Source organism: Homo sapiens, chromosome 1 (assembly GCF_000001405.40).
Source record: "Homo sapiens chromosome 1, GRCh38.p14 Primary Assembly".
Taxonomy (NCBI): Eukaryota; Metazoa; Chordata; class Mammalia; order Primates; family Hominidae; genus Homo; species Homo sapiens.
The window spans coordinates 207,123,224-207,140,398 of record NC_000001.11 but is presented as its reverse complement, the minus strand read 5'-3'; the positions used below and the strand labels follow the sequence as shown (position 1 = coordinate 207,140,398).

The 17,175-nt window shown below is 39.8% G+C and overlaps 1 protein-coding gene and 1 long non-coding RNA gene across 10 annotated transcripts in view; one reads left to right on the top strand and one right to left on the bottom strand.

Moving 5' to 3' along the window:
* Positions 1–13,389, top strand: part of LOC107985251 (uncharacterized) — a 195,120-nt gene extending 181,731 nt beyond the window's left edge. For all 7 annotated transcript variants that reach the window (XR_007066838.1, XR_007066837.1, XR_007066840.1 and 4 more), the window contains 2 exons: positions 5,619–5,705; positions 10,125–13,389. This is a non-coding gene — a long non-coding RNA (uncharacterized LOC107985251). The remainder of the gene's footprint in view (positions 1–5,618; positions 5,706–10,124) is intronic.
* The window catches only part of C4BPA (complement component 4 binding protein alpha), a 40,740-nt gene that overhangs the window by 4,574 nt on the left and 18,991 nt on the right, over positions 1–17,175 (bottom strand). For all 3 annotated transcript variants that reach the window (XM_005273252.5, XM_005273251.3, NM_000715.4), the window contains exons 5-9: positions 16,392–16,477; positions 16,033–16,224; positions 13,504–13,686; positions 8,659–8,853; positions 5,807–5,995 (exon numbers count right to left, since the gene is read on the bottom strand). In XM_005273252.5, coding sequence (XP_005273309.1) covers positions 5,807–5,995; positions 8,659–8,853; positions 13,504–13,686; positions 16,033–16,224; positions 16,392–16,477 — 845 coding nt within the window. The remainder of the gene's footprint in view (positions 1–5,806; positions 5,996–8,658; positions 8,854–13,503; positions 13,687–16,032; positions 16,225–16,391; positions 16,478–17,175) is intronic.

The following is a 17,175-nucleotide window of genomic DNA, read 5'->3' as shown; positions in this document are numbered from 1 at the left end:
CACAATAAGTCAGACTGAAATGCTGGGATTGCCATGGCAGATGGTATAAGAAGGGATTAAATGACTCAGGGAAGTGAGCATGCTGGAGTGGACATTTGTGTACACTGAAAAACGCACCAGGTAGTTATGCCACATGGGAAGTCCTAGAGGGAACAATATTTACCAAAGCTATAAGGAATTCCCTGAAAAGAGGAGAACCAGCATCAAATGCTGGAGCTGATGACAAAAAAGGTCATTAATGAAAAAGGTTCACTGATAGCCATAGCAGTCAGAAAGCTGCTCATATGCCTCAGAAGCTAAATAAATGCAACCATTATAATGAATTGCAAGGTCAGAGAGGCAACCAGGGGTGCCTGAGAGTTATGAAGATTAAACCATAGCATTCTTAGGGGTGAAAACAGATGAGCAGCCAACAACAATATACACTTTATTTGTACCATCAAAAGAAATTAAGGATGGATGATCAAGGGACCAACAGCATTTGGCCCAATAAAAAGTCACAATCCTTTGCCCAATATATAAACCTAGGACAGTTTTCCAGCCTGGTAATCATTAATTGAAGATGAAGCCAGTTGCCAGGAGTGAAGATGCTACAAAATCTTGGAAGGTTTGCACAGTAATGAATCTGCCAGTCCTCCAAGAGGACCTATGTTTATTTACGTAGGTAACTGCACTGATAAAAGAGGTACAATAATTCAAAAATTATTGCACACAGGGCTTGAGTTGACATTGATACCTGGAACCATTATAGCTCTCCTATTAGACCAGTTTGTGGTCATCTACCTTATCCTTGAACGTATAGTCAGAATAGACAAAATTGGTAGTTGGCCCAGCCCCTATATTGGGTTCTTGACCTGCGGGGTAAGAGCCATCTTATGCAGGAAGACCAAGTGAAAGCAATTGCTACTGTCCACCCATCTCACCCTCTCCCCAAGGCAAATAAAGTAAATTTAAAGAAAAAAACACCACCACAATATCTCCCAGGGGTGGGAGAGAAACATGAAAATTAGTGCCGTTCAAATAGCTAAAGACATGGGAGTGGTCATCCCTGTGATATTTCCATTAAATTCTTATCTGTCTACTACAAAAATTAGAAGGATTCTGAAGAACTACAGTATACCACTGAAAAAAAGACACCACATTTTAGTTCCTATTGCAGCCATTGCACCAGATGTGGTATCTTTGCTAGGGCAGATTAATGTGGCTTCAAGTAAACGAGGTCACTGATTCAGCAGAGGCCCTTCTTTCCTTTCCTAGCAGAAACAGTTTGCATATACATGGAAGGTGTGAGGAGTGTACATTTGCAGGTTTTGGGCTATGATAACCCTCTTGCCCATGTCATAATAGAGTCTGAATATATCTTGACCGTCTGGATATCCACAGAACATGACATTGATCCAATATATCAATGGCATCATGTTAATTCCCCCAGATAAGCAAGAGGTATTAGCATGATGATGCTCCAAAGTAAAAAAATACAATAAAAAATAGAGTCAGGTGTTTGCCACATCAATACAATTTTCAGAGGTCCAAGGTTCAGGGAACACTAAGATATCCCATCCAAACTAAAGTCAAATTATTGCAAATTGCACATCCCACTCTGAAGAATGCAGTACAGCACCTAAATAGGACTTTTCAGATTCTAGAGGCAGCATAATTCATACTGGGGTTACTGCTCCAACCCATAGGCTAGGGGGGACAAATGATTGCCAGGTTTGAGCGGGGCCCATGTTAGGAAAGTGCTTAACAGCAGGTCTAGTCTGCAGTGAAATTATCCTGTTGCTTGAGCCTTAGGACCCAGCAGAACCTAGTGTATTTGAAGGTGGTTGTAGTAGGAAAAGATGTAAATGTCAACAGGACAGTTACACCATAGATCCTTGAGATCCTGAAGCAAGGCCATGCACTGCAGTAGAGGACTGTATGCTTTCTGAAATATAACTCTTGGCATGCTACCAGGTCCTGATAGAGAAAGCTCCCAACATTGGGTCATCAAGTGATCATGCAGCCAGAATCACCCATCATAAGCCAAGTCTGTCAGACCCATCAGGTTATAAGCAGGCAACCATTCATTATAAGATGGAAGTAGAGCATCTGGGATTGAGCATGGGCAGTAAAAGGTGGCACAGGCAAGCTGCACAAACAGAAAACCCAATTCCTACCTGTGCCCAGCCACTATGGCAGGAGTGCCTCTTCTTTAGCTCACAGTTGTGGCTATACCAGTTATCCAGTATAACCAAACTGTCCGGATGGGGAAAACTCTGAACGTGGTTCACAGATAAATATTTTTGGTATTGTAAACCAAAAATAAAATTCTAAGGTCCCCCAACCATCTGAATGGACCCTTCCTCTCGGCCAAGGCATTCCAGAGTTAACCTGAACATCTTGTTCAGGCCATGTTGGAAGAGAGGGTTGGACATTCCCCATTATACCCCTCCAACATTAACACCAACACAGATCTTAAATCTAATAAGAAACATTTATGGCTCAGTGCGGTGGTTCATGCCTGTAACCCCAGCACTTCGGGAGGCCGAGGTGGGCGGATCACTTCAGGTCAGGAGTTCAAGACCAGCCTGGCCAACATGGTGAAACGCTGTCTCTACTAAAAATACAAAAATTAGCTGGGCCCAGTGGCATGTGCCTGTAATCCCAGCTACTCGGGAGGCTGAGGCACAAGAATCTCTTGAACCCAGGAGGTGGAGGTTGCCGTGAGCCGAGATCGCACCACTGCACTCCAGCTTAGGCAACAGGGAGAAACTCTGTCTCAAAACAAAACAAAACAAAACAAAACAAAACAAAACAAAACAAAACATATCTCCACAACCCCTTATCATAAACCAGATATTCCTTTCTTCTGATAATAATTCAACCAATTACCAATCAGAAAATCTACCTATGATCCAGAAGCCCAGCCCCACTCCTCCTTCCCCGACACCACTTTGAGTTCTCCCACCCTTCCAGATCAAACCAGTATAAATCTTACATGTATTATGTCTCCCTAAAATGTATAAAAGCAAGCTGTACCCCGACCACCTTGGCCACATGTCATCAGGACCTCCTGAGGCTGTCGCAGGCGCGTCCTTAACCTTAGCAACATAAATTTTCTAAATTGATTGAGACCTGTCTCAGACATTTTGGGTTCACAGTATGTGTTGTAGAGAAGTGAGAGATCACCTCCACCCCTAATCCCCTTAGCTCTTATGTGGGCTCTTCGGCTGGATCTAGAAATCAAATTGACACTAGGTAGATTAACAAGGGAAAAGCACACAAATTTTATACATACATGGGGATCTTCCCAAGAGGGTAAAGTCTGAAGAAGTGGCCAAAGCAAGATATTTTATACTTTGTAAACAAAGAACAATAAATTTAAGAAGAAATGACAGGACAAAGAGGATTTGGCTAGGAGCAATAAATTTCTAGGAGAGTCACTAAGAGATGTATAGGGAGGGGCTGTAAAACTAGTGGAAGATAAAAACTACTTTGGGAAGTTTAGTATTCAGGTCCACTGCAGCCCCTAATTCCCAGTCTCTGGTGATGAGGGTGATTTTCTTGCTCTAGTAGGGGGAGGGTACTGTTCCCAGAGCAATCTTTATGGCTCGTGCATGCAAAAAGAGACAGGACAGCTAGCCCTTTCTGAAACTCCAATTCCTCTAATGTTTTCCACTTGAAATATTCAACATACCAATTCAGCATATTTTGAAATGGCATGCCCTTCACTCCTTTGGTGTGTACAAGCTAAAATGAATGGAAGCTGCATTACAGCCCAATCAAGGTCAGTCCTGAAAGACAATTTGTAAGGGGTAATCTTCCTGAAAGAAAGTGCTATAGATGGTGCACCCAAAGAAAGTGGCCTAAGGATAGGCTAAATTAGGATTCAGGGCATGGAATGAATGGCTTGTCTGGTCAAGGTCCTAGTCCTGTAAGAAGAAAGATTGGAAGATTGGGCACAAAGAGATCTGGGGTAGGAGCAGGTAAGTGGACATATGAGAGTGGGCAGGAAGTGTGAAGATCTTTATTTTGTGTGTTAACACCAGAGCATCCCCAGTAGAAAAGGTATTAAACAACCAAGTAAAAAAGTCTCAGCCAGTTGAAGTAAGCCATTCTCTGTTATTGGCCTCATGGGTGCTGGCACAAGAGGAAGAGGAGCAGAGTGGTTGTGGTGGCATGCATGGAAGACAAGCATGGGCCCAACAGCATGGGCTCCCACTCACCAAGGCTCACTGTTGTCACTGAATCTCCAACGTGCCAACAACAATGCTAAGTCCCTAGTATGATACCATCACTTGAGGCAACCAAAAAGCCACTTCCTAGCAAGTTGACTACATTGGACCTCTTCTACCATGAAAGGAAGAGAAGTGTATTCTGATAGAACTAGACAAATATTGCAGGCATGGGTTTGCCTTTCTTCCTTGCAGAACCTCAGTCAGCACGGTCATCTTAAGGGTTATAGAGTGTCTGAACAATTGGCATTGGCATAGGATCCACTACATCCAACTAGAAAACCCACTCACAGCAAAGAAGGTGTGTTGTTGGGACCATGCTCATGGAATCCACTACTCAAATCACATACTGCATCATTCAGAACCTGCCAACCTGTGAAAACACTGAATGGCCTATTAAAGGCACAGTTGAAGTGCCAGCTGGGAGGCAATGCTTGACAGTGATGGGATACTATCTTCCAAAATGCTGTATTTATTTTGAATCATATCGACTTTTATATGGCTCTGGGTCCCCAGTAAAATAAATGCATGGGTCCAGGAACCAGGGGATGGAAGCATGAGTGGCCCCATTGGCTACCAGTCTAAGTGACCTACTTGGGAAATTTGTGCTTCACATCTCTGAAGCTCTGGGACCTGCAGGTTTAAAAGACCTGGTTGGCAAAGTGGGAACATTTCTACAAGTGGGAGATAGGAATTTTCCTATTGATGGATAAGCTGCAACTAATGCCTGATCACTTTGGGCTCCTAATAGGGGTAATGAGCCCTCACCATTGCTAGATAGAGATATCAAGCACAGGGAGGAGGGTGGAATGCATTAACACTTGAGCCTTTTTTTTTTCTTTTTGGGACAAATTCTCGCTCTGTAGCCCAGGCTGGAATGCAGTGGCGTGATCTCGGCTCACTGCAACCTCCGCCTCCCGAGGTCAAGTGATTCTCCTGCCTCAGCCTCCTGAGTAGCTGGGACTACAGGCCCACGCCACCATGCCTGGCTAATTTTTTGTATTTTTAACAGAGACCAGGTTTCGCCATATTGGCCAGGCTAGTCTTGAACTCCTGACCTCAGGTGATCTCCCCACCTCAGCCTCCCAAAGTGCTGGGATTACAGGTGTGAGCCACCATGCCTGGCCCACTTGAGCCTTTTGGAGAAGCAGAAGGAGGCATTCTACACTGGGTGATGGTCTGACTGGAGGGCTCAGAGGTAACAGAAGGCTGCTGTTTGAGGAAGAAGAAGGAAACAAGTTCAGAAAGGCAGATTCAATAGATTTCGACAGTTCTTCTTCTGCAGATTGAGACATATGGACCAGAAATAAGGGAAGAAAGAGAATAATACAAAGAAACAAAAACACATAACTTGAAAAGTCCAGCTTATTTATTACATGTTGTCTATTTTCACTGATTCAGAAAAGAGGAAACTGAAGAGGCCAAAAGAAAGGGAACACACAATGAGGAAGAAGGAGAAAGTTGGACCCATTCCAAGAATCATGCAAGGTATATGAATTTTTTTACCTAATTTTAAACCTTCTCTTAATAATCTCCATCACACTGATATGAAGAAACTCCCAGAATAAGATAATTCTATGAACTCTTACTGTCTCCACATGATGGTGTTCGGGGACTCCACGTGCCATCTCCTTGGCATATAGCTGAAAACCTACTGGTCTCATGACATGAAAATGAAATCTCATCTCCATAGAAATAAACACAGTGATTGGCAGGACGACTTTTCCTGTGTTGAGTGATTTCACCATTATTTAGCTTTGGTTCAGGGCAACATAACGCTGAAAAATAAAATGTGAGGTGCATGGTTAGTAAAATCACCATGAGGAAGCTTCTATGGCTAACAACCTCATTTCCATCTTTGGACGATCTCACCACTGAAGAGAGATTGGGGAAACAGAAAGGGAGACCCAAGACACTCCAAGTCTGCTCTTTCCCCCCTTATTTGCTAAAGTCCTCTAATCCAGTTATTTCCTTCCAACTAAGCATTTCATTAGGAGCCTCCAAAATGAAAAGTTGGATTAAACTTATATGAAGAGCCAGGTGTGGTAGCTCATGCCTATAATCCCAGTGCTTTGGGAGTTCAAAATGGGAGGATTGCTTGAGCCCAGGAGTTTGAGACCAGCCTGGGCAACAGAGTGCGATCTTGTCTCTAAAAAATAAAAAATATTTAAAAAAATTTAACCAATATGAAAATGTAAATTTTCAAAATTATTCAAGGGCAATGACAAACAACATCCATTTACTTATGGCTTCATTATTAAACTCTCTATTAACTTATACTTCTCAAGTCACAAGGAAGAAGAAAGTTTTCAAAAGTTTATATCCACCTAAGAGCTAAAGCATACGAAAAAATTTAAATTACTGCTTATTTCAAGGATTTTTCTTTTTTGATGCAAAATTTGAGAGAAATAGCCATTTAAATGGCAAGATCTTGCTTTATCACTTAGGCTGGAGTACAGGGCACAATTATGGCTCACTACAGTCTCAAACTCCTGGGCTCAAGCAATTCTCCCACCTAAGCCTCCTGAGTAGCTGGGACTACAGGTGTGTGCCACCACACCCACTAAGTTTTTAATTTTTTGGTAGACAAGGGGTCTCACTATGTTACCCAGGCTGATCTCAAACTCCTGGCCTCAAGTGGCCCCCCACCTCGGCCTCCCAAAGTGCTGGGGTCACACATGTGAGCCACCACATCTGGCCAAATTCTTTAATTTTTTAATACAGTAAGAGCTGCTATAGGGACATATTTTTTTATTCATTAGTAGAAATACTTTAAGAAAAAACTTGCTATTGTCTGATGTAAGAGAAAACATCAAAACAGAATAAAATATTACATTCTCCATGTCAGTAACTCGACCAGTATTAAAATGGGGTCTTTTGGACATACTCAAACACTTCCAGTGCTCATTTGTTTAGGAATTATAATAAAAATATTCAGCAATCATATGGTTTGGATATTAAAACAACAATAATATTTATGAAATGCTTTGCAGTGCAGAAAATACTTTTAAATATGTAAGTCATGAGTCTAAATTCACATTTGATCAGGTTTCATAACTTGGATAAATACTACTTCACTTCTGCTTTTAAAATGGTTAAAAATATTCTTTATTAAATAATTAAATCAATAAGATCATAGGGGATCAAATAAATGTAAACAACTGGGTCCTGCTCTGTCATCCAGGCTGGAATGCAGTGGCATGATCTCGGCTCACTGCAGCTTTGGCCTCTTAGCCTCAAGTTATCCTCCTACCTCAGCGTCCTGAGTAGCTGGGATTACAGACGTGTGCCACCACATCCCGCTAATTTTTTAAATTATTTGTAGAGACAAGGGTCTCACTCTATTGCCCAGGCTGGTCTCAAACTCGTGGGCTCAAGCAATCCTCCCGCCTCAGCCTCCCAAAGTACTGGGATTATAGGTAGGAGCCACCGCACCTAGCCTAAATACAACTATAAAGGAGGTTTTTAAACATTTATAAGCAATACTTTTTGTTATTTAAGTAATGGCGGTAAGTTTTATTAAGTATATTTTTAATTCAGTCCTTTTATTAAAATCTTTTATTCTATTTCCCCAAAATGAGTCTGAATAACTGCAATTAAACTTTGTTAAGTCTTAATATGAAATAAGTAATCTTCTGACAGGTTGATCTAAACTACCACTTTTCATTATTTATGCATTTCACAGATTGTTGAAATTCTGATATGCAGCATAAAATTCCCTGTATTCTTGGCCTCAGTGTCTTCACCTCTAAAGTGGCAAGGTTCTGATAGATGGATAGAAGAAAGCATTTTCTTCCTCTCTTGTCTGTTCCACTGAGGCTCATAATATAGTATCCACTTGTCGTTCAGTCCCTCACTCATTTCCACAAATAAAAGAGGTGCGTCTCCTACCAGAGAAACTGGAGGAAGTCTCCTTTCTATCCTTACGAAGTGAGAATGCTCAGTCACGAGTCAGGATTTGTCTTCTAGAGGCAGATCAGGAAGCCCTGCCATCTCATGGTTCAAGAGACATGAGACACAAGTCACCCTGCAGCTGGTTACGCTCATGACTGTTTCACAAACTTGTCTTCTGCCAAACACCCCAAAGCCCATACTGGGGAGGTAAGGGCTATGAAGGAAGCCTGACTCTGACAATAGTTGAGCTGTATTCTCCATTCTAGTTTTACCAGTAAGAAAACTAATACATAATCTGCATAATGTTTGACTTCTGTGTCTACTTCTCATTTGATTCTGAACTGGGATAAGGAAAGGTTACAATTTCTCAGTGCCTCAAACTGTAACATGTTTATGGTCCCCTTCTGGCACTAACAGTTTACTAATCTGTTGAATTAACTTAATTCTAAACTTGTTGTGAGGGATAAAATTATATTCATTTAAGGTAGAGAATCCTAGCACATACTGGACATTTAATATACAAAAATATTAAAAAACAAAAACTCACCCTCACATCCTTGGTATGGGGTCCATCTCAAATTTTTCTGACAAATCACAGTCGTAGGCTCATCTGTAGTGGGTTTGTAGCCAGGATGACAGCGGTACCTTAACACAGTCCCAACAACATACACATCCTCTTTTGTCGGCCTAGGATATGTTTCCCAGGAAGCATGTGGAATGTCTGGTAAATTAATACAACTATCTACTCATGAAAGAAGAAGAAGAAGAACAAAAGGACGCTATTACTAGGGCTGCCACAGCAGTCAATAAGCCTGTCCTATCAAAGGGGGTCATACGTTCATTCAGCCTGGAACCAGCCTGCAAGGCCTGATGTATCAACCACACCAGAAAACACACATGGACATTCGCTCAAATGTGCACACCTCCAGAGAGGCTCTTCACTAAGGGCACTCCCAAGTGGTTTCCATGTGCTGTGCCAAGTATAATAATTTTAATTCTCATTCCTCTTCTTTACATTTCAGAGATTTTAGTTTCTGAACTGAAGCATGGCAGGAAAACTGTCACAAACAAATCTAACTATGTTTACTGATTGATTGGGGAAAATAAACAGGAGCCGTTCCCCTCATCCAGATGATACCAGGAATGACTTGGCAAGAAAAAAACCAAGCTCCAAACATTTTTTGAGCCTGGGCCTTGGATCTTGTCCTCTTCTCTCTTTCCCAATGCTACTGATTCATATGATATGAAAATATAATGCAAACATCTACCACGTTGGATGATTATTGAAATGGAATATAAAAGTTCTTTTTTAACAGCATTATTCAGATTAAAGTCACAACAAATAAATTCACCCATTTAGAATGTGCAATTCAATGGTTTTTAGTATATACAGAGTTGTGCAACCATCACCATTAACTAATTTCAGAATATTTTTATCAACCCAAGAAGAAACCTCATATTCATTATCAGTCACTCCCTATTTCCACCTCCCCCTAGGTCCTGACAACCACTAATCTATTTTTTTCTTTATGGATTTGCCTAATCTGAGCATTTTAAATAAATGGAATCACACAATACATGTACTTTTTGTGACTGGCTTATTTCAGTTAGCATAATATTTTCAAGGTTCATCCATGTTGTAGCATACATTAGTACTTTTTATTTTTCATTTTTATTGCCAAATGATATAATCTATTTTATGGATAAACCACTTTTTGTTTATTCATTATTCATTTGATGGGCATTTGGGTTGTTTGGCTATTATGAATAATGCTGCTATGAATCTTCATGTAAAATTTTTGTGTGTGGACATATGTTTTCATTTATCTTGGGTAGATACCCAGGAGGGTAATTAGAGTCATATGGTAACTCCATGGTTAAACTTCAGCAGGACTGCAAAAACTCTTTTCCAAAATGGTTGCACCAATTTACATTCCTATTAGCAGTGTATGAGAGTTCTAATTTTTCCACATCCTCACCAACATTTGTTATTGTCTATCTTTTTTATTACAGCCATTCTGCTGGATGTGAAGTGGTATCTGATTGTTACTAGAAGGCTATCCTTACAAGAAATGCTAAAGGAAATTGTTCAGACTGAAAGCAATTGACACCAGACGGTAATTTGAATCCACACAGTAAAACAATGAGCATCAGCAGAGGTCATTATGTCAGTAATTTGAACCACAGTATAATATATATTACTACTCCTTCCTTCTCTTAGCTGATTTAAACAGCAATTGCATAAAACAATATGTATATAATTGCATTATTAAGCCTATAACATACAGAAATGCAATATATTTGACAATAACATCACAAGAAAGGTAGGAGGGAACAAAGCTGTATTATAGTACAGAAATGACACCAGATGGTAACTTGAATCTACAGGAAGAAATAAAGAGCGCCAGAAATGAAGAATAAGAAGATTAACATAATAAACTCTCTAAATATATACTTGCCCTCCTTTCTTCTCTCAGCTACTATAAAAGACATGAAACATGAAATTATATAAAACAATAATTATAAAAATTTATTGTGCAGTTTGTAATATATGTAAGTGCAAAATATGTTGTTGGATTCTTGGTTGAGGTTTTTATCTTTCTGCACTTTGAATGTGTCATCTAGCTGCTTTCTAGCCTCCATTCTTTCTGATAAGGAATCAGATGTTAATCTTACTGGGGTTACATTGTACATGATGCGTTGCTCTTCTCTTGCTGCTTTCAAGATTTTCTCTTCATTCTTGGTTTTCAACATTTTGATTATAATGTCTCAAGGTCTAGACCTTTTTGCAATATCCTACTTGAGTTCAACAAGCTTCTTGGATATGTAGATTAATGTGTTGTTTTGTTCTTTTGTTTGGGTTTTTTTTTTTTTTGGTCAAATTTGTGATATTTTCAGCCATTTTTCCTTTGTATAGGTTTTTATCTCCTTTCTCTTTCTCTCATCTTTCTGGGACTCTCATTATACATATGTTGGTACACTTAATGGTGTCCCACATTTCTCTGATGCCATTTATTTTTCCTCATTCTTTTCATCTCTGTGCTTCAAATTGCATAATCTCAATTTATCTTCAAATTCACTGATTCTTTTTCCAACTCAAATCTACTGTTGAGTTCCTCTTTTGAATTTTTCATTTTACTTACTGTGTTTTTCAACTCTAGAATTTCCATTTCTTTTTAAAATAATTTCTATCTTTATCAATATTTTCTATTTGATAAAACTGTCATAATACATTTACTTAATTCTTTAAATATTGTTTCCTTTAGTTCTTGGGACATATTTATAATAGCTGCTTTGTGATTCTTTGAACTTTCCTGCTAAGTCCATTCTCTGGGCTCCCTCAAAAACAGTTTCTATTGTTGGCTTTTTCCCTTTACATGGGTCACTCTTTCCTGTTTCTTTGCACATCTGACAATTTTTTTTTTGAAAACAGAACATGTTAGATAATACATTGCAGCAACTTTGGATATTGATTCTCCCTTACCACCTTTGGGATCTGTTGTTGTTTCCTCATTTTCTTGTTTGTTTAGTGACATAATTGGACTAGTTCAGTTAAGTCTGTTTCCTTCAAAGTGTGCAACATCTAACAGCATGCCTCAGACAGCACAGACTTGGGCATGTACACAGTCTTTTTAACTGCCAGAGATAACTGTGGTTTTCTCTTTGACTGTCTCTTTCTCATTGAGACTTTGGGTGGTCTACCTCTGTTGGTATTACATACAACCATTGGCCTCCAGCAATCTTTATCTGATTGTTCTACTTTTTTCAGCAACTCCCTGGGGCATAATATGCTTCACAGTCTAATCCAATTAAAGTTCCTTGAAAGGGGCAGAGTGTTTACAGTCTTTGAAGCTTGCTCCAAATCTGCCCTGGAAGAATGTCTGTCCTATAGATCAGGAGCTGGGGGAAATTAGAAAACTCATTCTTTCCCAGGCACTGCACTAGAGTTCTTCTTATGGTGTAGGAGCTGTGAGAAGAGAAAAGGGGGAAGTAGGAACTGGCACTGCCACCCAGCTGCGCCCACCACCAAGTACACATATTCCACAGCGCAGAGCTGGGGAGAATAATAACTGCCAATATTCATAGCTGTCAACCTACCCATAATAGTTCTTCCATTCTAGGAAGCTGGGGAAGATGGGAGATGCCACTTGGCTGCTGAGCCAACTGGAATAGTTCTCGTGCAACATAGAGCCATGAAAAAGGGGGGACTGACTTCTTACCAGCTGCCCCACTTAGATCCTCCCCATATAATCGGAGTTGGGGGTGAAGGAACAGACACTGATGCATGTTTGCTGGCACCGATTCAATATTCGACTTCCACAGCATGGATCTTTGAAAAATACTGTCATGTAATTTTCACTGGCTGCCAAATCCACCCCAAATAACTTTTTTACCCCAGGGAGCTGGAGAAGATGGGAATTGCCACTTGTGGGATGAGCCCACAGAAAACATCCTCCCGCAAGGTAGAGCTGTTGCAGCCCCTAGTTCTAATGCAATGTCCTCCCACTGTTCCTATCAAGTCTCCATATTTTTGCTGAATAAATGCTTCTCGGTTTGTTGTAATCCCTTTGATCACTCTCCAGAGACTTTGAATGGTTTTCTTTGCTAATTTTGACCAGCTTGGTGGATACCTCTTCAGGAGAGAGGTTTCCCCAAACTCCTCCACCACTGCTCCAGAAATCCCCAGAAGTTCTTGACATTTCGTGAGGGCAAAACTTAGAGCACAAGGCATCAGTGGCTTCCTTCTCTTACCAGTTGTATAACCTTGAGCAAGTCTTTTAACCTCTGTGAACAGTTTCTCATCTGTAACATAAGGATAATCATAGTGCCCACAATTGTTGGGAGGATTTGTTGAGTTAATCCTTGTTATGCACCTAGTCTAGTGCCAAGTTATCATTATTACTATTGTCATTATTTTTAATAATCCACGAGTTTATAACTTCAGAGTGTTGGAATCATAACCAGTTCACACAATACTTTTGTACAAGTTATAAAAGGCATTTTTCCTCAGGACAATTTATTATTTGTCTTTCAAAGTAATTATAATAATATAATGATTTTGTTAGAATAAGACAATTTTCTATCAAATTCCATAAAATTATTGAAATAAATATACAAATCCATAGTATCTACAATGTTAACACCTCCCTTTAAGGTTGGAATGTGCACAGTCTTGTGGTATGTGGCAGTTTTGTGTGACAATATATGACCTTGCAGAGTGCACTAAAATCATTCTTCTTTCCAACAAGAAAAAAATAAAGGAAATTATTGATCTAGATGTAAATTTTTACTGTAATTCATAGTAGGCCTATGCATGCAAGTATACCCGTATTAACAGTACGGGGTACCTTTAGATGCCAAACATTGAAATTCTGTCACAGTCCATACTTACTGGGCTCACAAGCAGGAGGAGAAGGATTCCATTTGCTATCAGCATCACAATGAATTACACTGCTGCCTCTGAGAACAAAACCTTTTTGGCACTTAAACACAATAGTGTCTTTGTAATTATAGATGGGTCCAAATCCAGAGACCATTTCCCCATGTGAAACATCTGGCTTGCGACAGGTGATTTCTAAAGAATCATGAGAAAAGACAAGTGGATTTTAAAAGATAGATGGTAATAAGGATATTACTGCCACTGCTAATCCAGTTACAAGTGCAACACAAATGCCTGTTGAATGTGCATGTCAAGTAGATACAAGGGAAACATTTTAAAGTGAATACACATACACAAACGCATACATATATATCTGTATATATAATATATATATATATGTAATCCTTTCAGTACTAGTTTTTATTGGTGGAGAAGTTGAAGAAGTTATCCACAATTACCTCATAGAAAGACCAATGTAATGGAAACTCATTTTACTGAGGCTTTTAAAAGCTGAAATTATTTATATTATGTTAATGATACTTATTATATATTTTATATATTCTATAATATAGTCTTATAGAATATATAACACTATACCAATAGTATTATATATTATATATTTTTATATTTGATATAATATATATTTATATATACACATATGTATGTGTGTGTATATATATAAAATATATAATTTCAGCTTTTAAAATGAGTTTTCATTACATTGGTCCTTCTTCGAGATGACTGTGGATAGCTCCTCCAACTTCCCTACCAATAAAAATCAGTCATACATAACCCAGCAGAAACATATTTCCAAGGCCCCCAAAACTTTCAGTATAATGGCCTAATTTCCTAGATGATTTTGGTTATGGGTCCGTGGCCCATGGTAATTACATAGTGCAGAGGCAGCCCAGGGGATCAGAGACCCATGCCCCGACAAGCAGAAAACAAGCCGCCCCCTATCTCACACCCCTCACCCACATCCTGGCAGTCATCCAGTCCTGGCAATTCTGCTACTTTAATTCCTCTACAATCCCTTAACTTCTGTCCAGCCCCACTGCCATGCTACCGCTGAAGCCACCTTCAGTTTTTGGCTGGAGGGTTGCACAGGTGCTGTCTTAGTCTGTTCCTGCTGCTATAACAAAATACTTTCACTAGTTTATAAATTATGGAAATTTCTTTCTCACAGTTCTGGAGGCTGGGAAGCTCAAGATCTAGCCACCATCAGATTCAATGTCTGCTTGCTCTCCCCTTTCAAGATGGTGCCTTCTTGCTGCGTCCTCACATGGGGGAAGGGATGAAAGCTCTGTCCTCACAAGACAGAAGGGCAAAAGAGACTAGCGCTCTCCCTTCAACCTCTTTTATAAGGGCACTAATCCCATTCATGAGGGTGGATCCCTCATGACTTAATCACTTCCCCAAAAGTTCCACCTGTTAAAACGATCACATTGGGTCTTAGGTTTTATCATGAGTTTGGAGATGCACATTCAAGCCATAGCAGGTGACTGTCAGTTAAGTTTTGTCCCACTTCAGGTTGTTGTCCCACAGCCAGAGTTATCTTTCTAAAATGCAGCACATTTATTCCCCTTGTTAAAGCCTTTCAAAGTCTCCCCTCCATGATTGTTCTGAATGCCTGAGACTGAAACACAAGGCCCTTCATAACCTGGCCCCTGCCCACTTTTCTGCCCTCAGCTATTGCCGCTTTCACTTGTTGCAGATCTAACTCCAGGCATTTTGCACTGTTGGCAGTATCCTGCTCTTTTGTGCCCCTCGTCTGATTGTGTCCTGTGGTGGGTTAGTAAGCAATACTGTGTAAACTTAGTAATATAAAGTAAGATTCCTTAGACTAGCACACTAACTAACATATCTTTTGACTCAATTATCACTTGCTTTGTCCTGTTGCCCTTCTGGCACTCAGGTTTTGCTTGCCCTACAGGCATATGTGTTTCATCTTATAGGTGCAAATTATATTTTCATTTCCGCTTCTTGAACAGACCAAGGCTACATTCCCCAGTCCTCTGAGGCTACTCTCTAGTTTGAGACAAAAGGCTGTAATGGAAAGTGATATGTGGTTGCTTCCAGGCCAAAGCTCTTAGCCAGGACACAATTGGCCTTTCTCTCTTCGTCTACTGAAGAGACTGTGAAGGCACATTTTGAAATGGAGGTGCCATAAGATCAAAGCAACCTGGCTTGCTGAGCTAGTTGCTAAGCTAACACAGACTACGGCTGCCCTGGAGAGTCTCCTGGACATGGAACAAACTCAGTGTAAATGAGAATAAACTTTTACTTCACCAAACCAGTGAGATGTTGTTGCTGTTTGTTCCCATATACTGTTAGCTCCCAGTTCACCACTCCCATTTTTATGGCTTTTATATTCTAAACAAACATGCAATAAGTATCAGGTGGCCAAATAAATGATTGCATCAGAGCGATAGTTAGTTTATCTTTGAATTTTCCATTTGCCCCCCAATAAATTTACCTTTCTTTCTCTTTTAAACAAAAGAGAGCAAACATTTTGATGCAGAATTCATCATTATGACTTACTTTCACAGGTAGGAGGGCTTGGTCTCCAAACACCTATTGTTTCATTCTCCACAGTGCAAGAAATGGAGGCATGGCCCAAGAGTGAGAAGCGGGGGTCACAGCTGTAGGTGACAGAAAAGCCGTATGCGTAGAAATTTTCTTCACCGCTGTGCCTTCCATTCCTGATGTCTGGAGGAGGCTTACACTTGACAACTGAGGTAAGTGAGTGAAGAGAAAGAAATACTCAGCGAAGGCATCATGATAAATCTAAAATTCATGCAAATTCTAATGGAAGGTACACATACCTGTAAAGATGCACAGGGACTTTATTACCTAACAGAGTTTAAATTGATAGTCAAGTCAGAAGAGTCTTTACTTACTTTCACATTGTGGGAGAGGATGACTCCAGCCAACTCCTCTATCTTGGACTTCACAACGACTAGTGGTTGAGCCAATTAAGAAAAATCTGAATAAGATAGATCAAAGATTTTAATGGAATTCCTCCTACCCTAAATTAAATTAAAGAGGTCTGAGCAAATAGAATTGTTACTCAATATTAAAATAAGGAAATCATATGTTCTTGGATATCATTTCCCATTAAGCACTCCATTCAGTAAAATTTCATTACTGCAATGAGATGCGTGTGTTTTTTCCTTTGGACCCTCATTCCTTAATCTGTTACTGAGCATCTACTAGGGATCAGGAATGCAGTTCATCCAGAGCTCAAGCACAACAATAAAAGGCTGGCTTCAGCGTGTTCTGTGGTTGTCTCTGGGTGAGAGTACCAGCTAGATTACTGAGTCCACAATCTCCCCATCTTTGGCTTGAAGCTTCCTCTGACTTCCAGGTGGGTGTCTTATTCCCATACATCATTAGCTTTCAGTTCACCACTTCCATTTTTACGGCTCTTGATATGTCCTACTCTTTCCTCAGTTCGTCTTCCTGCCCTCTATCTTATGCTAACAGAAAAAAACAAAAGATATGAATGATTACAAATTGTAGCATCATCAAGGATATTGATAATCATCAATGATATCAAATTGTAGCATCATCAAGGAATAAACTTACAATGTGATAGAACACTAAAGCAAATGTCACCTTCAGCAATCTAAGAGCCTGTGGAATTTATTGAATAATAACTTCAAGAAAATATATCTCAACTAC